Raw genomic sequence first — 23,553 nt, 5'->3', positions numbered from 1 at the left:
AGGTGTATTATGAGCAGTTGAAGATATATAGGAAATTTTTTCCCAAACCACTATCTCTGCTCGTTCTATTCATTCAGTCTGTTTATGTTATTCCTTCATTCATTCATTTTATAGAACAGTGGAGTGCCTACTGTATGCATCTATTGTTCTGGGTCCTGGGGAAGAAAACAAAGTTCCTGCTTTCATGGAACTTACATTATATTGGCGGAGACAGTAACAGACAAACAAATGTAGCCTGTGTACATGTGTTACATGAAAAGCAGGGTAGGGGGCTGGGAGAGAGTAGTAGGGAGTGCTATTTTCGAGGTGGTTGTCAGGAAAGGCCTCACTGAGGAGGTGGCATTTTGAGTAGACCTGAGCGCAGCGGGGGCGTAAGCCCAGGCAGCATGTGGAGGAAGAGTGTTCTTGGTGAAAGGAACAAGGATAGAGGCCCGAAGCTAGAGAGCTCAGCATGATCAAGGAACAGCAAGCCCCGTGTGGCTGGAATGGAGTGAGCAAAGGAATGAGCAGTAGAAGGTGAGTGAGTTGGGAGGTCACCAGAGACCATGGCAAGGACTTGAAAGTGTCAGGGACACATTGGAAGTTGGAGCAGGGAAATGATGGGATTTATGTTTTGTTTTTGTTTTATGTTTAGTGTTTTTAAGGGATTGCTCTATCAGCTATTTGGAAAATTTAGTGTAGGGCTTCAAGAAGAGAAGCAGAGAAACAACATTCTTGCCATAGTCATAGTCTAAGTAAGGGATGATGGTGGTGTGGATTAGGCTGGTAGTGGAAGACCAGTCCAGTTCGGGTTGTATTTGAAGGTAGAGGCAAAAAGATTATATTTCTACCAGCAAGCCCATCTATGAAGTTACTTGTATTATTAATTTAATTGAGACATGCCCACATAAACTAATAAATAGGAATTTCTGCAGTTTGGTTAAACACCCCTGTATATCCTGGTTCTTCTTTTAGTTGTCCAGATGTCTCTTTAAGTCAAGTATTTTTTGGTGGTGTAGGAGCCTAGAGATTGAATTTATTCACCCAAAAGGCATTTGAGTGATTACTATGTGCCAGGCACTATGCTGAATGCCAAGGATGTAAATAAGAGGGCGTAGTCTCAGTCTGTTTTACTCCAGCTTGGTTCCTTTTTAATGACCCTGACTTGTTAAGCATATCAGTTATCCTACAGAATGTTTAATCTTCTGTACTTTCCTGGTTGTGTTATTTAGCTTATTTCTCTTTCCTTGACATTTCTTGTAAACTGGAAGTTACACCTATAGTCTTGATGATTCGTGTTACACATTTTAGATTAGAACACATCATGTGTTGTATATGGTGTTTTTGAAAGCCTCTCTGTATATTGGTCTGTACATTAAAATGTTGCCTGAATGGATACACATAAAATTTAACAGTGATTACATTAGAGATGAGAAGAAAGAGGTGCCTTTTACTTTTCAATATACCTTTTCCTCTGCTTTTTGAACTTTCTTGCCCTATGCATACGTTATTGCTTAATCATCCACCTCATCTCTTCCCCTGTGGCTTTCTGTTGCATTTGGAATGAAATCTAGCCTCTTTGCTGTTACCTGTGGATGTCCCTTGCTGGCCTCTATCACCTTACTTTGAACCACTCCTTTCATGGACTGAGCTCTCATTGGACTATCTTTTATTCTTTTGCTGAAGTTTCTTCACTTTGAGTGCCTCTGCAGTTGCTATTTCATGGCTGTGGCAAGCCCTGCCATGGCTTTCATGCAAGGATGGTTCCTCCTTCTCATCTCAATATTATCTCTTCAGAGAGGGACCTTCCCAACTCCGATGATCTAAAATCCTTTGTATATACCACTCACTACCACTTCTTTCTTTTCTTTTCCTTTTATCTTTTTTTTTTTTTTTTTTTTTTGAGATAGGGTCTTGCTCTGTTGCCCAGGCTGGAATCACGACTCACTGCAGCCTCATCTTCTTGGGCTCAAATGATCCTCTCACCTCAGCCTCTCGAGTAGCTGGAACTGCAGGCACACACCACCATACTTGGCTTATTATTTTACTTTTTGTAGAGACAGGGTTTCACCAAGGCTGGTCTCAAGCTCCTGCCGCAAGCAATCCACATCTCTCAGCCTCCCAAAGTATTGGGATTATAGGAGTGAGCCACTACTCCTGGCCTATTTTCTTATTCACTGTCTAAAATTATCTTGTTCATTTATTTACATACTTGTTTATAGCTTATTTCTCAGCTGGACATGGTGCCTCACACCTGTAATCTCAATACTTTGGGAGGCTGGGTTGGAGAATTGGTTGAGCCCAGGACTTCAAGACCAGCCTGGGCAACAAAGTGAGACCCTGTCTATAAAAAATTGTTTAAAAATTAGCTGGGCATGGTGGCACATGCCTGTGGTCCCAGCTACTTGGGAGGCAGAGGTGGGAGAATCGCTTGGGCCCAGGAGGTTGAGGCGACGGTGAGCCATGATTGTGCCACTGCACTCTAGCCTAGTGACAGAGTGAGACCATGTGTCTAAAAAGTAAATAAAAATAGTTTCTCTTTCATGACTAGAATATTACCTCTATGTGGGCAGGGAGTTTGTCTATACTATTTGGCACTATATTTCCTGATTCTGAAATTATGCCTAGCACATGGTAAGTACTCCTTAAATATTTATTGACTGAATTATTTAATACTTAAGAATTTCATTTGGGATTATCTGAGTGGTAAGATTACGGATTATATTTATGTAAGAAAAAATCATTTTTTAAACTTGGTTGCCCTTTGCCACACTGACATAGACACTAAGTTTTCTTAGCCAGATTACTTCCGAGGATACTCACAGAGGCCATTCTCTTCTCAATCCCCAAATAATTGATATTTCTTAGCACTTTCAAGCTAATGCAATTCTTAGATGATGTATCTGTGTATATCATATCCTCATTCTACAAATGTAGAAATTGAAGTCTGGGCACAGTGGCTCTCACCTGTAATCTCAGCAGTTTGGGAGGCCAAGGCGAGCGGATCACTGAGGACAAGAGTTAAGACCAGCCTGGCCAACATGGTAAAGCCTTGCCTCTATTAAAAATACAACAATTAGGGCCGGGCGTGGTGGCTCACGCCTATAATCCCAGCACGTTGGGAGGCCAAGGCAGGCAGATCACGAGGTCAGGAGTTCGAGACCATCCTGGCTAACACAGTGAAACCCCATCTCTACTAAAAATACAAAAAATTAGCCAGGCATGGTGGCACGCGCTTGTAGTCCCAGCTATCGGGAGGCTGAGGCAGGTGAATCCCTTGAACCCGGGAGGCGGAGGTTGCAATGAGCTGAGATTGCACCGCTGAACTCCAGCCTGGTCAACAGAGGGAGACTCTGTCTCAAAAAAAAAAAAAAAAAACAATTAGCCAGGCGTGGTGGCGGGTACGAGTACCTGTAATCCCAGCTACTAGGGAGGCTGAGGGAGGAGAATCACTTAAACCCAGGAGGTGGAGTTTGCAGCGGGCTGATAATGCACCACTACATTCCAGCCTGGGCAACAGAGTGAGACTCTGTCTTAAAAAAAAAAAAAAGAAAGAAAGAAATTGAGGAATGTGGAGATTGTGGTCTGTGATTTGTTAGGAATCACACAGCAGGTTAGTAGCAACTACAGGGCTTTGGTTCAGAATACCACCTTGACAATGGTTTGTTTACAGTTCGGCTCCCCTTCCTCTGCCTTTCTCTCCTTCCTTATTGAGGGCAGCTGGAAAGAATTTTCATCATTTACTAGCCTATAGCTTTAATTTGAGTTTTGAAACCTTGATAATAGAGCACAGAGGAAAAGACTGAGTTTTCTTTTTTTGAGACAGTCTTGCTCTATGGCCCAGGCTGGAGTGCAGTGACACCATCTCAGCTGGTTGCAACCTCTGCCTCCCAGGTTCAAGCAATTCTGCCTCAGCCTCTCGAGTAGCTGAGATTACAGGCACGTGTCACCACGCCCAGCTAATTTTCTGTTTTTGTTTCGTTTTGTTTTTTTCTGAGATGGAGTCTTGCTCTGTCACCCAGGCTGGAGTGCAGTGGTGCGATGTTGGCTCACTCAAACCTCTGTCTCCTGGGTTCAAGCAATTCTTCTGCCTCAGCCTCCCCAGTAGCTGGGACTACAGGTACGTGCCACCATCCCTAGTTCATTTTTGTATGTTTAGTAGAGATGGGGTTTCACTATGTTGACCAGGCTGGTCTCGAACTCCTGATCTCAGGTGATCTACTCGTCTCAGTTTCCCAAAGTGCTGGGATTATTGGCACACGCCTATTTTTGTATTTTTAGTAGAGACGGGGTTTCACCATGTTGGTTAGACTGGTCTCAAACTTCTGACCTCAAGTGATTTGCCCGCCCCAGCCTCCCAAAGTGCTGGGATTACAGGCGTGAGCCACCGTGCCCAGCCAAGATTGAGTTTTGAAAAGAGCCTTCTGAGATTATGAGAAGGGCAAGCAAGATAACTTAAGAAGTTACATTAAAATCATCTAAGAGACAGTGTAACAAGAAGGAATTGTAAAATGATGTTATGAGCACGTGCCCAATGTAGTGGCAATCCCTTGTGCTTCGATACATTGGTGGGAGACAAAACTGTACTTAAATTGATAAATCCCTTACATGTCATTTTAAGGAGCTTAGACTGACTCCCATCATGTAGACATCAGAGATTTCTTTTTTTTTTTTTTTTTTTTTTTTTTTTTTTTTTGTGACAGAGTTTTGCTCTTGTTGCCGAGGCTGGAGTGCAATGGCGTGATCTCGGCTCACCACAACCTCCACCTCCCAGGTTCAAGCAATTCTCCTGCCTCAGCCTCCCGAGTAGCTGGGATTACAGCCATGCACCACCACGCCTGGCTAATTTTGTATTTTTAGTAGAGACGGGGTTTCTCCATGTTGTGGCTGGTCTCGAACTCCTGACCTCAGGTGATCCTCCCGCCTCAGCCACCCAAAGTTCTGAAATTACAGGCGTGAGCCACCGCGCCCAGCCCAGAGATTTCTAAACAGAGTTCTAACCAGATGCTTTTCCCTGTCAGTAGAATGAGAATGAATTGGAGGTGGGAGAGACTGGCATGAGGGACACCAGTCAGCCAGTGGAATTAGCTGGTAATGTTGATAGGAGAAGAAAAAGATTCAAAGTTAGGTAGTGGTAGCAAGAATTAGAGGGAAGGTCGGATTTATGATATGTCCAAGGTTGAATTCTAAGGTGAAATTTGGTGGCAGATTTCATGTGTAAATTGGGAAGGTAGATTGAGTTTTTTTAACATGGGTTTTCTAACATGTCAATAGAGTGACTCTGCAGGGGGGCCTGACGAGAGAACAGTGCATGGGGTGATTCAACAGCCAGTTGAGCCTTCATGCAGAGCATTTAACACTGTGACTCTGTAGACTCTGGTTGGCAGTAAAATTTCATTAAACCAATATTTAAACCCTTAGGTAATAATAAAAATTGAGGGAAAAGGATCCAGGTTTTGTATTTTTTATGAATTCAGTTATTGAATTAAACAGGACCTTGCCTCAAGAAATAATCTACCAACAATTAACTTGTTTTAAAGCAAAGTTAGGAAGTGAGCATGTTCAAATTATTAAATAAAAAAGTAAGCTGTGTATTTCATTCATAGAAATAGAGGCTGGCCTACTTCGGATGATTCTCAGCATGTGATTACAGATGTGGGCTTATACATCCTAGGGAGTTAAGGCGTACTCTGGCTTGGATAGAGTAGAGCTCTTTGAAACTCTTCTCTCACCCAGCTAGTTTATATAGACTAGAGAACTAGAATGTAGCAGCATACTCTGTCTTAGAAGCCCTTTTATATAGGAGCTGGTCTGGAAGGTTTGAAAACATAACAAATGTGTTGGTGTCTCCCAATGTATTGCTAGATTCTTACCCAAGAGCATTATCCTGGTTAGGGTTTGGTTTGGTTTTGTTTTGTTTTTTAATGTTTGCCACAAACTAACACTAGATGTTAGTTCTTTCATCAAGTGAGGAGAGTAGAAGAAAAGTCCAGAACTCTGAAACACCTTTTCAAAAGTTTTTCAAGCCATGATGTTTGCAAGTTAAATGCTCTGTTATGTAAGCAATATAATCAGTTTTTATTAATGTAACATTCCTTAGTGTTTTGGGGTATCACACAAAAAAGAATATCCATATCTGGAAGCAACAGCTTTTAAATAAGAGCATTGTGGTGGTGGTGGTGATAGTGGTTTTTTTTTTTTTTTTTGAGTTGGAGTCTCGCTCTGTTGCCCAGGTTGGAGTGCAGTGGCACGATCTCAGCTCGCTTCAACCTCTGCTCCCAGGTTCAAGCAATTCTTCTGCCTCAGCCTCCTGAGTAGCTGGGATTATAGGCACCTGCTACCATGCCTGGCTGATTTTTATTATTTTAGTAGAGACAGGTTTCACCATGTTGGCCAGGCTGGTCTTGAACTCTTAACCTCAGGTGAATCACCCACCTCGGCCTCCCAAAGTGCTGGAATTACAGGCATGAACCACCATGGCCAGCCAAATAAGAGCATTTTTAATGTAAAATTATGCATGAAATGTACATTCAATTTTGTCTTTGTTTACTAGGATCCATGTTCTCACAAGCTATGAAGAAATGGGTGCAAGGAAATACTGATGAGGTAAATCCTACCTTTAGGATAAAAAGATTTCTGTTTATAAGTGCCACCCTCATGTAAGTGAGGTTTAAAATTTTCCTTTTCTTTAGGTCCCATGTTTAAGCAGCATGGCACATTTATGTTCTCTTACCCAGAATGTACCAAGAAAGGGTGGTCCCTTCTTAACATCTAACAATTGCCTGGTAGTAGCAGTGAAGGTATCTTCAGTCAGAGGCTAGGACCACTGAAGGATATACATGCATTCAAGTTTCCATCAGCCAGCAGGCATCAGTAATCAGTGTGTAGATCAAAAGCTCAAATGTTTCCTTCCCCACTGGCAGTTTTACTTCAAGTAGTGGAGGCTTGCTTTTTTAATAGTTAATTAAGTACATTGAGAGATGGGAGGTGAAAAAAGGAAAATGTTTTATTTTGACCATCTAATATGAAAGTAGTTCGGTGTTAGGTATCCAGTAGTTGACACTGGAAGACAGGGAATGACATGTTAATATTCATAGCCAGAGGGTGGCCCAGGTTTTTTCGTACATGGGAATGAAATTCTTATCCAAATAAGTAGAAATTATGTGCGTAAGCCATTTGTTAAGAGCACTGAGTATGTGCATCTCGATCCATCTAATGAATAACCATTATCACCAGTTTAAATTATTTTCTTTAGGCCCAGGAAGAGCTAGCTTGGAAGATTGCTAAAATGATAGTCAGTGACATTATGCAGCAGGCTCAGTATGATCAACCGTTAGAGAAATCTACAAAGGTAAGGATGACTTCGTTTTGTGTAAACTAAAAAGTATTATTTTCCAGGTGTAAAAATAAAAAAGAACATAAGGGGTTTCTTTGCCTTTGAAGGATTAACTGCTGTGGGGATTACCTTCTTATCATAAGCAACTAGAAAATTGACAAACTAAATGAAACAACTGTTTGCATATATTGGACAATGGGCAATACAGGGAAACCATGGAAACCAAACAGAGCCCAGTAGTCTTGCTGAACGAAAGAGTTAAATATCAAAGTTCAGGCCAGGTGCAGTGGCTCACGCCTGTAATCCCAGCACTTTGGGAGGCCAAGGCGGGTGAATCACTTGAGGTCAGGAGTTCAAGACCAGCCTGGCCAACATGGTGAAACCCTGTCTTAGCCGGGTGTGGTGGCAGGCACCTGTAATCCCAACTATTTGGGAGGCTGAGGCAGGAGAATCGCTTGAACCAGGGAGGCGGAGGTTGCAGTGAGCCGAGATCACACCACTGCACTCCAGCCTGGGCGACGAGCGAAACCCCATTTCAAAAAAAAAATCAAAGTTCAGAGAGCTCAATTTGAGTAGAAGTTGTAGGATAAGGTAGCAGAAAAGAGGAAGCTGCCCAGAAAGAAAGCCGTAGAGATATTTAGAGAGATTCCCATGGATCCTTGGCCTAGGAGTGATCTGTATATGTGTGGGGTGAAAACGCATGTGTCCAGGTAGAGAACCCCCCAGAAATTAGTAGGCTGAATGATTGCTGGAACATAGGGCTAAGAAAAGTTCATGGCCAGAAGGATCTGGCCAGAGTAGAGAGACTTAGTAATACACAAGGCATTGGGTAGTGTCTTCACAGAGGTTATGCCTTACTACTGAAGATAAATTAGTCCTAGAGTACAAGCACCTGAACCAAGTTTCAAAGCAAATTTTTAAAGGGTCAAATTACCTAACAACTGCATGCCAAAACAAAGGCCTAACCCTCTTTACAGTAACACAACAAAATTCAGCACTTCACAGTGTAAAGTTAGAATGTCTGACGTCCAGGCTGGGCGCAGTGGCTCATGCCTGTAATCCCAGCACTTTGGGAGGCCGAGGCAGGTAGATGACCTGAGGTCAGGAGTTCAAGACCAGCCTGGCTAACATGGTGCAACCCCGTCTCTATTAAAAATACAAAAACTTAGCCAGGCATGGTGGCCGGCACCTGTGATCCCGGCTACTTGGGAGGCTGAGGCAGGAGAATTGCCTGAACCCAGGAGGTGAAGGTTGCAGTGAGCCGAGATCGCACCACTGCACTCTGGTCTGGGCAAAAAGAGCAAAACTCAGGCTCAAAAAAAAAAAAGAATGTCTGACGTCAATCACAAATTACCAAGCATGACATGAAGTTGACCTATAACCAGGAGAAAACTCAATCTATAGAAACAGACCCAGATGTGAGAAAGATGATGAATTTAGCAGACAAAGACCATCAAGTGGCTATTTTAAATATTAAAAATATGTTCAAGTGGCCAGGTGCAGTGGCTCATGCCTGTAATCCCAGCACTTTGGGAGGCCAAGGTGGGTAGGAGTTCAAGACCAGCTTGGCCAATATGGTGAAACCCCTTCTCTACTAAAAATACAAAAAAATTAGCTGGGCATGGTGGCAGGTGCCTATAGTCCCAGCTATATGGGAGGCTGAGGCACAAGAATCACTTGAACCCGGGAGGTGGAGGTTGAGGTTGCAGTAAGCCGAGATTGTGCCACTTGTACTCCAGCCTGGACAACAGAGTGAGACTCTGTCTCAAAAAAAAAAAAAAAAAAGTTAAAGAAAACAAGAGTATAATGAGAAAAATGCAAAATAGTTTTAAAAGAACCAAATGGAATTTCTTAAAATAAAAAATACCAGAAATGGGGGCCGGGCGTGGTAGCTCACGTCTATAATCCCAGCACTTTGTGGGGGCTGAGGCAGGCAGATCACCTGAGATCGGTAGTTCAAGGCCAGCCTGACCAACATGGAGAAACCTCATCTCTACTAAAAATACAAAATTAGCTGGGCGTGGTGGCGCATTGCCTGTAATCCCAGCTACTTGGGAGGCTGAGGCAGGAGAATTGCTTGAACCCGGGAGGCAGAGGTTGCGGTGAGCTGAGATTGCACCAGTGCACTCCAGCTTGGGCCACAAGAGTGAAACTCCGTCTCAAAAAAAAAACAAAAAAAAACAGTAGACTCGAAGAACTAGCTGAGTTTTTCTTTACTTTAGGCAGTAAGTGTGACCTTTTGCAGGTGACTACTTTAGTTCCTCATGTCCTCATTAGTAGATCAGAGAAATTCGACACCAAAACCCCAAAAGAAAAACCCCTTCTAATCCTCATTCCATGATTTTATGAATGCATGAAGTCCTAGGCCTGCGAAGGAATACTCATTCTCTTTATCCTGTGTTGATACCTCTCTGCTTCAACCTCCAACTCGACATTTGCCTATAGGATGTACTTGGACATTCAGCATAAACTACCTCACACCATTACTGAATTGCTTCATGTGCACATGTCCCATGCCACAATACCGGGGACCTTGTCTTCCGTGATATTTGTCCGCAGTGCTGTGACTACAGGAGGGAGTCAGTGAATGTCTGCATGTGTGTCTTTACCATCCCTCTTGAATATGCTCTAGGGTTAATTCCTAGAAGTAGAATTACTCTATTGAAAATTGGCAATATTTTTCATTCTAATATCTATTGCCAACATGGGAAAGCAAGTCTGGATGCCAGTCCTTGTTATATGCCCCTTGGGTAAGTTACGTAACCTCTTTAAGCTTCTGTTCACTCATATTTTAACAAGGAAAATTACAATATTTTACCTCACAAAATTGTAGTCAGCTTCTGGCTGTCTTAAACTCTGGTATATAGTAAACACTAAGTGTTGGTGTCCATCCTTAATTTGTAATAATAGGTCACTTGTTAGAGAAATGCACCTTACCATTTTCTTTTCTTTTCTTTTTTCAGTTATGACTCAAAACTTGAGATAAAGGAAATCTGCTTGTGAAAAATAAGAGAACTTTTTTCCCTTGGTTGGATTCTTCAACACAGCCAATGAAAACAGCACTATATTTCTGATCTGTCACTGTTGTTTCCAGGAGAGAATGGGAGACAATCCTAGACTTCCACCATAATGCAGTTACCTGTAGGCATAATTGATGCACATGATGTTCACACAGTGAGAGTCTTAAAGATACAAAATGGTATTGTTTACATTACTAGAAAATTATTAGTTTTCCAATGGCAATAACCCATTTATGAGAGTGTTTTAGCCTACTGGAATAGACAGGGACCACATCCTCTGGGAAGCAGATAAGCATAGAACTGATACTTGATGCACACTCGTAGTGGTAACTCATCCCTAATCAGCATTGTAAAGCAGGTGCCAGAGGTGGTTTGCTTTGTCCTTCCAAAGCAGGTGAGTCAGCCCCACCGAGAGCCAGGCAGCTTTGAGTGGCAGCGTGGTGCTAGCAGCTTCAGCGGAACAGGGTGAGAGTTAATTATGCAGTCTTCTTGACAGCGGCATTAATTTGGAAGGAAACTGACAAGTCATGGGTCAAGTTTCAGTGACTTCCTCCTTCCTCTGATGGCAGTATATAGTTTTCACATTTTAATTCCTCCTCCTGAGATGCACTATACTTAAAACCATTCTCTCCCCTGCTAACAGAAGGGTGTGAATCTGGTTTACTTTGAGCATTAGGATTTGCCCCTTTGGAATTCTGCACTCCAGTTACTTAACTTTCCCTTCAGAATACATGTGGAAAGAAAGAAAGAAATAGCGATGACTCCACTTTTGCCCCTGTGGCACCTTGAACAAAGCAGTTCTTCCCAAATTATACTTTTTTTTTTTTTAAATAAGGTGAGCAGGATGACTGGGGAGAGAGAAACATTTGACTTTGACTGCCTCCCCCATTCTTTGCTGTGAGCTGGAAAGTGTGCAGTTGGTCGTCTTTCTTCTCCTTTCTTTAGGATAGTAAGAGACTCACTCACTGCACTTCTGCTCAGTTGGCTTCTGCATCGGGATCACACAGCCATCAGCAGGACTGCCCAGTTGGTGAGCACACTCCATTGACCACGTGGCGCCAGCGCTTCCTCAATGCACATGATTGAGAGGAAAGAAAGTTCTCTTAGATGTTACTGCTTTTGCTCAGACTTTGCAAAAAAAAAAATATATATATATATGTATAAATATATAATTATTAATCACTTTTGTCCTTGAGAAAGTCTTGAATGAACAGAGAATTTATTCCATTGCAATATTTGATTGTATAGAGGCACACTGTTTCATCGACAGAAGAAGCAAAAAGGCTTTGTGTAAGTTTTTGGTACTATGTACCACCTCTGTTATTCTTTTAAAGCTGAAGTATTCATGTACTTAAACCATATTATATTTAATTGTGTTTGATTTTAAAATATATATATATGAATTCTATTTAAAATTGTGTCAACTTTCTGCTTTCAGGGCATTTATGGCTCTTCTGTTGAAATATATTGATCTTTCCAAATATTTTCATTTGCTTTCTAAAAACCCAGAACATGAGCCACTACTGGACTTTGCCTTGTGTTTGAAGTGTATGGCATAAACCCAAGGTTTTTATTAGTCATCTATGCTGTGATTAATTCATTTTGTTCTTTTAACAAAATATTTCCATCCACTTCACATTGCTTCAATCTTTAACAGAAAAGCAATATAAAGGTTATAGAATAAAATGTGGTTTTGGGCAACTCTTGCTGCCTCTGCATGTTTTGGAATAACAATTTCTACAAGACTCTAGGCTGTTTAAACTAGTGCTTTCAGTTAAGATAAATTCTAATCATTTCTTTGTATATACATTTTGTGCTTCTGAGCTAGAGATGCCAAGTAGTTGTAAACTGCTTATAAAGAGAATAGCAGCAAATTTGAGACTCGGCTACTTTTTTCTGCCCCACCTGCTTTGAGACACAGAAGCGGAGTGTGGCCCGAAATTATTAGCCAGATTTAATATTTGATCTAAAGTAGGTCCTTGTACTCATTTTAAAGTTGGAATTTGATTCCTCCAACATTGAGCACCCACCATGTTCCAGGCTCTGTGCATTGTGCCCACAAAATAAGATTCCCTGGTGGAGTTTTTATGGGTTCAAATAATCAGTTGAACACCCTTCATCTTTATCATGTTGTTGACATTGACACAAATTGTTTAAAAAGAAAAGATATTAGAGAGAAAGTGGTACCTTTGTAACTTGATGTGTCTTCATCATTCGGTAAGATTTGATGAAAGTAAAAAGCAAATGTCAGCCAAATCCAGTGAACAGCAATAAAACAGGGAGTAACTTTTTATAACTTTTTCTACTTGGATTTCAACATTCAGTAGAGCTTTTCGAAATGTAAGTAGTTTACAGTACTGGAGGTTTGACTAGTTCAGTAGGAATTTGGAGGGGAAGGTCATTCTGAATTGTAACAAAGTACAAACTTCTTTGCTGTTTTATTTAAGTACTGAGAGCTAAGCACCTGATGAAGTGACTGACCTCTCTCCAGTGACAGTGTTTGGGTACCTGCCTGACTTCAGGAGTGGGGTTTATGTTTCTACACAGTGACCTTTTCTCTCGCCCTCTCCTCCCTCTTGCCCACACACCAGTTGATTGGACCTGGGTTGAACTCCTGATCCAGACAGGCCCAAGACAGTTCTTAATGTTAAGAATTTTGGGGCCGGGCACGGTGGCTCATGCCTGTAATTGCAACACTTTGGGAGGCCGAGACAGGCGGATCACTTGAGGTCAGGGGTTCGAGGCCAGCCTGGCCAACATGGTGAAACCCTGTCTTTACTAAAAATACAAAAATTAGCTGGGCATGGTGGCGCACGCCTGTAATCCCAGCTACGTGGGTGGCTGAGACAGGGGAATCGCTTGAACCTGGAGGCGGAGGTTGTGCAATGAGCCGAGACCGTGTCACTGCATTCCAGCCTGGGTGACAGAGGGAGACTCTGTCTCCAAAAATAAAAATAAGAAAAAGAATTTTGGGCTAGGTGCAGTGGCTCACGCCTGTAATTACAGCATTTTGGAAGGCCCAAGATGGGCAGATCACTTGAGGACAGGAGTTCGAGACCAGCCTGGACAACATGGTGAAACTCCATCTCTACTAAAAAGACAAAAGTTAGCCAGATGTGGTGATGGGCACCTATAATCCTAGCTCCTCGGGAGGCTGGGGCAGGAGAATCACTTGAACCCAGGAAGCAGAGATTGCAGTGAGCCAAGATCACATCTCTGCACTCCAGCCTGGGCAACAGAGCAAGACTCTGTCTCAAAAAAAAAAGAATTTGGCCAGGCGCAGTGGTTCACGCCTGTAATCCCAGCACTTTGGGAGGCCAAGGCAGGCAGATCACGAGGTCAGGAGATCGAGATTGTCCTGGCTAACATGGTGAAACCCTGTCTCTACTAAAAATACAAAACATTAGCCGGGTGTGGTGGTGGGCACCTGTAGTCCCAGCTACTAGGGAGGCTGAGGCAGAGGAAGGATGTGAACCCAGGAGGCGGAGCTTGCAGTAAGCCAAGATCGTGCCACTGCACTACAGTCTGGGCGACAGAGTGAGACTCCGTCTCAAAAAAAAAAAGAATTTTGGCCGGGTGCGGTGGCACATGCCTGTAGTCCCAGCACTTTGGGAGACCAAAGTGGGCGGATTACCTGAGGTCAGGAGTTCAAGACCAGTCCGGCCAATATGGCGAAACCCTGTCTCTTACTAAAAAAAATACAAAAATTAGCCAGGTGTGGTGGCGGGCACCTGGGGAGGCTGAGGCAGGGAGAAATGCTTGAACCGGGGAGGCAGAGGTTGCAGTAAGCCAAGATCGTGCCACTGCACTCCAGAGCAAGACTCTTTCTCAAAAAAAAAAAAAAAAGAATTTTGCATGGGGAAGGAGAGATACTGTTCACCATCTGGAATGGTGCTTGGATGTGGCACTTACAAAATCAGGAGCCAGCACTGCATGGACAAACAGAAGCATGTGGGCCTGAGATAGCAGGTACCTTGATAACCCTGAAGACATCCTTGGTTTCTGCATCTATTCCTGCATCCTTGCATTGGACTACATTAATCTGTCAGTTATCCTTATAATGATTTTTGATTTTTTTTTTTTGAGATGGAGTTTCGCTCTTGTTGCCCAGGCTGGAGTGCAATGGCACGATCTCGGCTCACCACAACCTCCACCTCCCAGGTTCAAGTGATTCTGCTGCCTCAGCCTCCTGAGTAACTGGGATTACAGGCATGCGCCACCACACCTGGCTAATTTTGTATTTTTAGTAGAGACGGGGTTTCTCCATGTTGGTCAGGCTGGTCTCGAACTCCCAACCTCAGGTGATCACCCTGTCTCGGCCTCCCAAAGTGCTGGGATTACAGGCGTAAGCCATGGTACCCGGTCTGTTTTTTGATTTTTTGAAACCAGTCTGAAGTGAGTTTTTTTAATTACGTGAAAGGAGTTTGGCTAAAATACTGCCATACTGCCCTAATGCCTAATGATTATGTATTCTCAGCATGTCTGCAAAGTACTGCTGATTTCTGGAGAATAATTTTTCTTTAGTAAACTTCACTTAAGTCGTCATGTGTATTCTCTCAAAATGGTATCCTAACCTAATGGAGCTAAAAGACACCCCTTGTTTTTATAACAAGCAGTTACTGAGGCCCAGGAAGGGGAGAAGTCCCTGGCTTGTGAGATGATCACCATTAGAACTCAGGCCTGGGCCAGTGCCTTTTCATGCTTCTCAGATCCTTCCAAAGAATAATGAAGATTATAACCGCTTTTAGCAATTGTAATAAACCCAGAAATAGAAAGCTTTTTGGTTAGAGTACTGGTAGAAGTTTGGCGGGAGAGATAATTTTTACAAAATTTGTAAATACCTGCCAATTCTATATACTAGGCAAGGTCTCTGGCCTTGTAAAACCCCTCAAGGTTACAACTTTGGTGGCCCACACTAATAGTTACCCACTGAGGCCCTCTCCGGGTGAACATTGAGCACTAGAGGAAGCCCCTCTGCTTGGGCAGGACTGGGCGTGGTGCAGAGTAGGAGCGGTGATACTGTGGATTCTGGGCAGGTGGAGATGGCCAGTGATGTCCAATAAAGGACACTGGAGGGAGCAGTGTGAGTAAAGGCCCTGAGGGCATTCATGTTCAGGGAGGGTTGCTGCCCACTGGCTTGCTTGGCACACAGGAGAGTGGGTATTCCTGCCTTAGTAACTTTATGTAAACAAGTATTTCCTCAGTCTGTTCCTCTCAAACTGCCTGCTCTGGCACATTCAGAATGTCACAGAACTCACCTGGATGCATTCAGCCCCTTGCCTAAAGGTGACAGTGCATCTCCTTCCCCACCCCACCCCTCATACCACTGAAGCACCTGTCAGACTGGCCCAGTCTGTGGGCAAGGAGCCTAGAGAGGGCTTAGTTTCAGCTTGAAAGGAGCTGGGATTTACCAAGAAGCAAATGAGAGACGAGGATTGCAACAACTGTGCCATTTCCCCAGCTTCAGCTGACTCCTGTATATTGACTGTGCCTTCAGACTCATCCGTAAGTGACCCCAGGCTGGCCTCTCCCACATCACAGTAAGAATTCCACACACCATACAACTTGGAAAGAGGCTCCAGCTGAAGGAAGCCCCACACTTCTTTCAAGTTTTTCTTAGTCTTCTCTTCTTGGCAAAGAGTACCTTTTGTTTCTTCTAATTATGTAACTATTGGTTTAGTAAATATTCACCCATTCAGTCACCCTGTAAGTGGCAGGCACTGTTTACAGGGACACAGGAAGGAATAAAAACTTGCAGGCACCTTGGAGCTTGCATTCTATTGAAGAGGTAATGGAAGTTGGGATAGCAGCTAAACTATGCTGGTATTGGCCAGGCGCAGTGGCTCACACCTGTAATCCCAGCACTTTGGAGGCCAAGGTGGGCAGATCATGAAGTCAGGAGATCGAGACCATCCTGGCTAACATGGTGAAACCCCGTCTCTACTAAAAGTAAAAAAAAAAATTAGCCAGGTGTGGTGGCGGGCGCCTGTAGTCCCAGCTACTTGGGAGGCTGAGGCAGGAGAATGGTGTGAACCCAGGAGGCGAAGATTGCAGTGAGCCGAGATGGCACCACTGCACTCCAGCCTGGGTGACAGAGCGAGACTCTGTCTCAGAAAAAAAAAATATGCTGGTAGTTTTGATTCAAGATGGCCTTTGGAGCCCATGATTTAGGTCTCGTACCCACCAAGGTCTACTGGAAAACATCAGGCTCTCCTGCTATAGACCCATAGGGAGAGCTGCAGCCGAGAGGGGGAGCTGAAGAGAAGTGCCCCTTCTGTGTCCTGTCAGCCTCATCCTTCCGCAAGGACCAGTTGCTGTGCCACTCCATTCACTTGCTGCAAGACTGGAGGTTTTTCCTCAGGTGTTGAGCACCTGGTTTACAAGATGTCAGCATCTTGATGCCTGAGACCATCAAGGCAAGTCTCTGAACAGGGCTTACCTTAGAGTAAGGCTTAGAAGAGGCCGTAAAGTCAGTCTCAGCTCCGTGGCTCTGCAGAGCTTTGGGACATGTGAATTCTTAAAAACAAGACTATTGTACAGTTACTATATGCATGCAGTATAAAATTATAACCTTGGAAAATCCTAGCTAGCTGTTGAGCTAATTCCATAAAGTAATCAGCTCCTGAGTTCTGCAGTGGTAATAATAATCAGCATAATGAGTAAACACTGTGTGTGCCAGGCAGCGTCTCATTTGATCCTTGTGATAATCTTGTAAGTACTGATTTTCTCCCTTCTTTAAACAAAGTTTTTTTTTTTTTTTTAGAGAGGGTCTCACTATGTTGCCCAGGCTAGTCTTGAATTCCTGGCCTCAAGCACTCTTCCCATCTCAGCCTCCCAAAGTGCTGGGATTATAGGTGTGAGCCACCATGCCTGGCCATTTTTTCCCTTCTTATAAAGAAGACAAGCTTAAGAGGTAAAGGAGGCCAGGTGTGGTGGCTCATGCCTGTAATCCCAGCACTTTGGGAGGCCAAGACAGGCAGATCACGAGGTCAGGAGATCGAGACCATCCTGGCCAACATGGTGAAACCCCATCTCTACTAAAATACAAAAAATTAGCTGGACATGGTGGCACAAGCCTGTAATCCCAGCTACTTGGGAGGCTGAGGCAGGGGAATCATTTGAACCTGGGAGGCAGAGGTTGCAGAGAGCCGAGATCGCGCCACTGCACTCCAGCCTGGCGACAGAGCAAGACTCCATCTCAAAAAAAAAAAAAAGAGGTAAAGGAATTTCACCAGGGTCTCAGCCAGGGGAAACTGCCCTCTTACTCACAACTGTGCTATCCTGCAAATGTTCTCTTCTCTCATTTTCCTGCTTATTGGTACTCACCACAGACAAGTATAGAAGATATCAAAAACTTCAGAAAAAAATTAGAGGGATTCACTTTAAAATGGAAAACATCCCATCTATCTACCTTAAAGCAGTGGTTCTTAAATTTTCACATGCATCAGGATCCCCTGGAGGACTTGTGAAAATGTGCATCATTGGGCCTAATCCCCAAAGTTTCTAATTTAGTAGGTCTGGGGTGGTGCAAGAATTTGCCTTTGTTTTTGTTTTTGTTTTTTCTCTGAGACAGAGTCTCATTCTGTCCCCCAGGCTGGAGTGCAGTGGCACGATCTCGGCTCACTGCAACCTCCGTCTCCCGGGTTCAAGCAGTTCTCTGCCTCAGCGTCCTGAGTAGCTGGGACTACAGGCGCCCGCCACCATGCCCGGCTAATTTTTGTATTTTTAGTAGAGACGGGGTTTCACCATCTTGGCCAGGCTGGTCTGAACTCCTGACCTCGTGATCCACCCACCTCGGCCTCCCAAAGTGCTGGGATTACAGGCAGGAATTTGCATTCTTAACAAATTCCCAGATGCTGCTGCTCTGGAGACCATACTTTTCAAGAATCCCTGCCTTAAAATCTTTCCTGTGAGTTGGGAAATGAATATTTTCATTCCCTTTTATTGGGAATGACCATGCTATACAGAAATGTAATTTGAGACCTATTATTTATGACTCACCCAAACAAGCACATAAATCCTTTACTATTATTCAGATGTTTATCAAAGCTGAGAACACCCAAACACCACTGTAGTTTCTCAGTCTCTGGTTGCCTAGGCAGATCTGAGGCCATCAAAGCAAGTCTCTTGCTGGGATGAGGCTTAGAAGAGGCCACAGACCAGTTTCAGCCCCATAGTCATCCACTCCCCAGCCCCTTTGCTGGGAACAGTACCCGTGACAGTCCAGGCTGAGACTTGCGGCTGTTGGGATCATACCCAAGGTTCCAGTGGAATCTCACACAAATCCTGTCTGGTTCATTTTCTTTCTGTTTGCACCTCAGGTCCTCAGTTCCCTCTGAGGTCCCCACCATGCCTTTCCTGGCCTGTCTCTCCTTCGCTGACCTCCTTTTCAAGTCCCTCCCAGAGAATGCTCATACCTTAGTCTTTTCTTTCCTTCTTCCTTCATCTCTCTATTTCTTCATCAGGTATGTATTTCCTGAGGGCCTATTATATGCCTGTTGTAGTTGCTGGGGATACAGCAGTATCCAAGACAAACACTGCCTGCCCTCCTTGCAGTCCAGAAAGCAAGCAATGACCACTCAATGGGATGAGTGCTACTAGACAGTAAGGGACCTGCGGGGGGCAGTTTAGGTGCCCTCCCTCAACCCTGCAGTTTACAGACTTTGTGACCATCTCACTCTTTCTCTAGGACTTGCCCATTCTGCAAGTCTCAAGACACCATTTCTTCCCAGTCCTGACTCCCTACCCCACACCCCATCATCATTGTCCGTAGCACCCACTCCCAGCCAGTGCTGCTTCCACAGCCTTGCCATCTGAAACTGCCCTTTCACTTTTGCCATCTGCTCAGCTCCAAGCCGCTCCTGCCTGTTTCTCCAAGTCTTCCATCTACCACTCCCAGGTTTCGTCACTTCATTCCCACCCCAGGAACATCACTGTCCATGATGGCAGTCTGCCCGGCAATCTGGCCTGTTCCCAAGACTGGCGTTTCACTCCTCGATTGCACCTGTAACCAAACTTGGTGATCTCCTGCAACTGCTCTACCTCTGGTTTCTCCTAACATACTACCCACAGCAACCTCAAACAATGAAGTTTTGTACCATTATAGAGTCCTCTTATTGGAATGGATTAGAGGGGAAGGAAGAAACTTAAGTCATTATACCAGGAAAATCATTCCCTCACTATTGCAAGAGTTAGGTTTCATAATCTGCCTTTCAAAGAGCAATTACAAAAGCAATAAGTAATTTTGTTGTAAGGATTACAAATACACCTACATGATAAATTGGGGGCCGGGGAGGATGGTCCTAATGTGGTAACTTGGGTCAAACTTGCCAGTGAGTCAGACATGTATTTGAGAAGTGCTGCATCTCAGACAGCTTAGATGCAAGTGAAGGAGATACACTTTGAGAAATGGACTGTAGATACCATGAAGACGTTGATGTCCAAGATGCATGTAGAGAGTGAATAAAATTGTTACTTGAAATGTGAGAATGGGAAAAAAGCAATATTTTGTATTAATGTATTATATATATAATGTTATTTTAAATATGCATGTGTAACTAAAGTAATAAATTAGATATTATAACTAGACGTGCCTATTTCATCAACATTCCTAGAAGTTTAAGTACTCTGGGTACTTTAAATTATTTTTTTATTAAATGTAGAAATCAACTGTATGTTTCATGAAGTTCCTATTGTCCGCTGAATAAAGTCCAGAGTCTCACTCTGTCACCAGGCTGGAGTGCAGTGGTGCAATCTCAGCTCACTGCAACCTCCACCTCCTGGGTTCAAGCGATTCTCTTGCCTCAGCCTCCTGAGTAGCTGGGATTACAGGAGCATCCAGCTAATTTTTGTAGCTGGGATTACACCACACCCAGCTAATTTTTGTATTTTTAGTAGAGATGGAGTTTCACCATGTTGGCCAGGCTGGTTTCGAACTCCTGACCTCAGGTGATCCACCTGCCTCAGCCTACCAAAGTGCTGGAATTACAGGCATGAGCCGCTGCACCCAGCCAGAACACTACTACTTGAACTGCACGTCTCTCTCCTCGGTGGGTTTCACACTTCAGAACTGGTACCTTTCCTCAAGCAATGCCCACAGTTTAAAATGTCTTCCCCCACATTCTGTCCAAAGAAGTCCTCATCTCTGAAGACTGACCATTTTCTCCTCCACATCCTCCCAAAGCCTTTCCCAATGCCCAGCCTGTCCTCACATAGCATCCAGTTTGGCATCACTGACAGTTCGGTTCTGGGCCTCTATGCCACCAGATGTGAGTGAGCTCTTCCTGGGAAAGACTGGGGTTTGTCCCCAGGAAGCATGACCCAGGAGATGCAGGGGAAAATAAGTTTGCTGTAAATGGACCAGGCCCAGCTAATGGCCCTGTTGGGTCCATCTGCCCAGAATCTGAACTAAGCCTTCCTTTGCTTTAGCGCCTGAAAAACACCCTATCTGCTCCTACAAAGAGGCTGACATTAAGATGTCTCTCTCTAGTGCTAGTCCAGCAGTTCACAAGACATCATCCCACAGGTGCCCAAGGGTCCCTGAGACCCTTTCTGGAGGTCTGCGAGGTCAAAACTTCATAATCAGACTAAGATGTGGGGTGTCACTATGTGAATATTTGTACTGATGATGCAAAAGCAAGGATGGGTGAAATGCATCTCAGTGGAAATCTGGACAGTGACACTGACCTGTGTCATCATTATTGAAATCTTCACCACCATGCACTCACCACAAAAAAGAAAAAGCCTGCCAGGCACGGTGGCTTATACCTGTAATCCCAACACTTTGGGAGGCTGAGGTGGGTGGATCATCTGAGGTCAGGAGTTCAAGACCAGCCTGGCCAACACGGCAAAACCTTGTCTCTACTAAAAAATACAAAAATTAGCCGGGCTTGGTGGTGGTCGCCTGTAATCCCAGTACCCAGGAGACTGAGGCAGGGGAATTGCTTGAACCTGGGAGGTGGAGGTTGCAGTGAGCCGAGAGAGTGCCACTGCACTCCAGCCTGGGTGACAGAGCAAGACTCCATCTCAAAAAAAAAAAAAAAAGTTTCCCATAGGAATGTTCTTGGTGAAGGAGTAACAATTGGTAATTTCATTAAATATCAACCCTCGAGTACATGTATTTTAATATGCGTGACAAATGGGAAGTCTGCGTAAAGCACTTCTGCACAGTGAAGTATGATGGCTGTCCCTAGGAAAAGCACTGGTGCAGTTGTCTGGATAGTCAGCCAACTTAGCCACCATTTTCATGGAATACCATTTTTGCTTGAAATAACAACTGACCAACTGGCTATTTATTGGGTTTTTAAAAGACATTTTCTTTTTTCTTTTCTTCATTTTTGAGATAGGGTCTCACTCTGTCACCCAAGCTGGAGTGCAGTGGTCTGATCATGGCTCACTGCAGCCTCAAACTCCCGTGCTCAAGCGATCCTCTCACCTCAGCCTCCCTCGTAGCTGGGACTACGAGTGTGTGCCACCATGATTTTTTTGTGGAGAAGAGGTCTCACTATGTTGCCCAGGCTGGTCTCCAACTCCTGGGCTCAACTGATCCACCTTGGCCTCCCAAAGTGCTGGTATTACAGCTGTGAGCCACCACACGAGTGAACAAATGTGATTTTTAAAATGCTGTGTAATAAAATGTGTCAATGTTTGGAGGATCTGCATAATCCAGTACAATTTTTGTTTTGTTCTGTTTTTTGAAACACAGTCTTGCTCTGTCACCCAGGCTGGAGTGCAGGGGTGCAATCTTGGCTCACTGCAACTTCCACCTCCCGGGTTCAAGCAATTCTCCTGCCTCAGCCTCCCAAGTAGCTGAGATTACAGGTGTGCACCACCACACTGACTAATTTTTTTTTTTTTTTTGTATTTTTAGTAGAGACGGGGTTTCACCGTGTTGTTAATTCCTGACCTCGGGTGATCCACCCACCTCGGCCTTCCAAAGTGCTGGGATTACAGACATGAGCCACCACGCCTAGCCCAGTCCAATTGTTTTTTGAGATGGAGGTCTTACTGTGTTGCCCAGGCTGGTCTCAAACTCCTAGCCTCAAGTGATGCTCCCACCTCAGCCTCTCAAAGCATTGGTATTATAGGCATGAGCCACCAAACCTGGCCAAGCCAGTATTTTCCAAATGACCAGTGCATGATATAAGAAATCATGTTTAGGTAATAGATCAAAGTGCAAGAACCAGCAATAGATTTCAATATAACAGTATCAACAGCTCATTGATATGGTTCAGATTCTACATTGTAACTAACCTTTAAGAAAAAAACACAAGGCTGGGCGTGGTGGCTCACGCCTGTAATCACAACACTTTGGGAGGCTGAGGCGGGTGGATCACCTGAGGTCGGGAGTTCAAGACCAGCCTGACTAACATGGAGAAACCCCGTCTCTACTAAAAATATAAAATTAGCCAGGTGTGGTGGTACATGCCTGTAATCCCAGCTACTCGGGAGGCTGAGGCAGGAGAATGGCTTAAACCCAGGAGACAGAGGTTGCAGTGAGCCAAAATTGTGCCATTGCACCCCAGCCTGGGCGACAAGAGCAAGACTCTGTCAAAAAAAAAAAAAAAAGAAAAAAAAGGCTGACTCCTTTTTCGGACTCAGCCCACCTGCACCCAGGTGAAATAAACAGCTTTGTTGCTCACACAAAGCCTGTTTAGTGGTCTCTTCACACGGCTGCACGTGACATGTGGTGCTGAAGACCCGGGACAGGAGGACTCCTTCAGGAGACCGGTCCCCTGTCCTTGCCCTCACTCCGTGAGGAGATCCACCTACAACCTCGGGTCCTCAGACCAACCAACCCAAGGAACATCTCACCAATTTCAAATCAGATAAGCGGTCTTTTCACTCCTCACCAGCCTCTCTCGCTACCCTTCAATCTTCCTCTCTCACTACCCTTCACAATCTTCCTCTCTCGCTACCCTTTAATCTCCCTGTCCTTCCAATTCCAGTTCTTTTTCCTCTCTAGTAGAGACAAGGAGACACATTTTATCCATGGACCCAAAACTCCAGTGCCGGTCACGGACTCGGGAGGACAGTCTTCCCTTGGTGTATAATCACTGCAGGGACGCCTGCCTGATTATTCACCAACACTCCATTGGTGTCTGATCACTGCGGGAATGCCTGCCTTGGTCATTCACCCACATTCCCTTGGTGGCAAGTCAATTGCGGGAACACCTGCTTTGACTACTCACCGCCCCTCTTCTCTGTGTCTCTACTTTT

General features: G+C 44.3%; 1 protein-coding gene across 3 annotated transcripts in view, besides 2 other annotated features; it reads left to right on the top strand.

The window, feature by feature from the left end:
* The window catches only part of AKAP10 (A-kinase anchoring protein 10), a 73,527-nt gene extending 61,318 nt beyond the window's left edge, over positions 1-12,209 (top strand). For 2 of the 3 annotated variants that reach the window (NM_001330152.2, NM_007202.4), the window contains 3 exons: positions 6,533-6,585; positions 7,235-7,330; positions 10,279-12,209. In NM_001330152.2, the coding sequence (NP_001317081.1) occupies positions 6,533-6,585; positions 7,235-7,330; positions 10,279-10,284 (155 nt within the window). In that variant the 3' untranslated portion in view covers positions 10,285-12,209. Of the gene's footprint in view, positions 1-6,532; positions 6,586-7,234; positions 7,331-10,278 lie in introns of those variants that run through there. The other variant, XR_007065258.1, reaches the window with a different exon arrangement.
* Positions 17,478-17,977: an enhancer, noted in NCBI's record as "H3K4me1 hESC enhancer chr17:19801847-19802346 (GRCh37/hg19 assembly coordinates)". NCBI's record gives its function as "activates a minimal SCP1, AML or CMV promoter by ChIP-STARR-seq in primed H9 embryonic stem cells {active_cell/tissue: H9 hESC(primed)}" and the evidence as "EXISTENCE:reporter gene assay evidence [ECO:0000049][PMID:30033119]".
* Positions 17,978-18,479: an enhancer, noted in NCBI's record as "H3K4me1 hESC enhancer chr17:19801345-19801846 (GRCh37/hg19 assembly coordinates)". NCBI's record gives its function as "activates a minimal SCP1, AML or CMV promoter by ChIP-STARR-seq in primed H9 embryonic stem cells {active_cell/tissue: H9 hESC(primed)}" and the evidence as "EXISTENCE:reporter gene assay evidence [ECO:0000049][PMID:30033119]".

The sequence above is a fragment of the Homo sapiens genome, chromosome 17 (assembly GCF_000001405.40).
Source record: "Homo sapiens chromosome 17, GRCh38.p14 Primary Assembly".
Classification (NCBI taxonomy): Eukaryota; Metazoa; Chordata; class Mammalia; order Primates; family Hominidae; genus Homo; species Homo sapiens.
The sequence above is the reverse complement of the archived record's forward strand: the minus strand, read 5'-3'. Positions and strand labels throughout refer to the sequence as shown.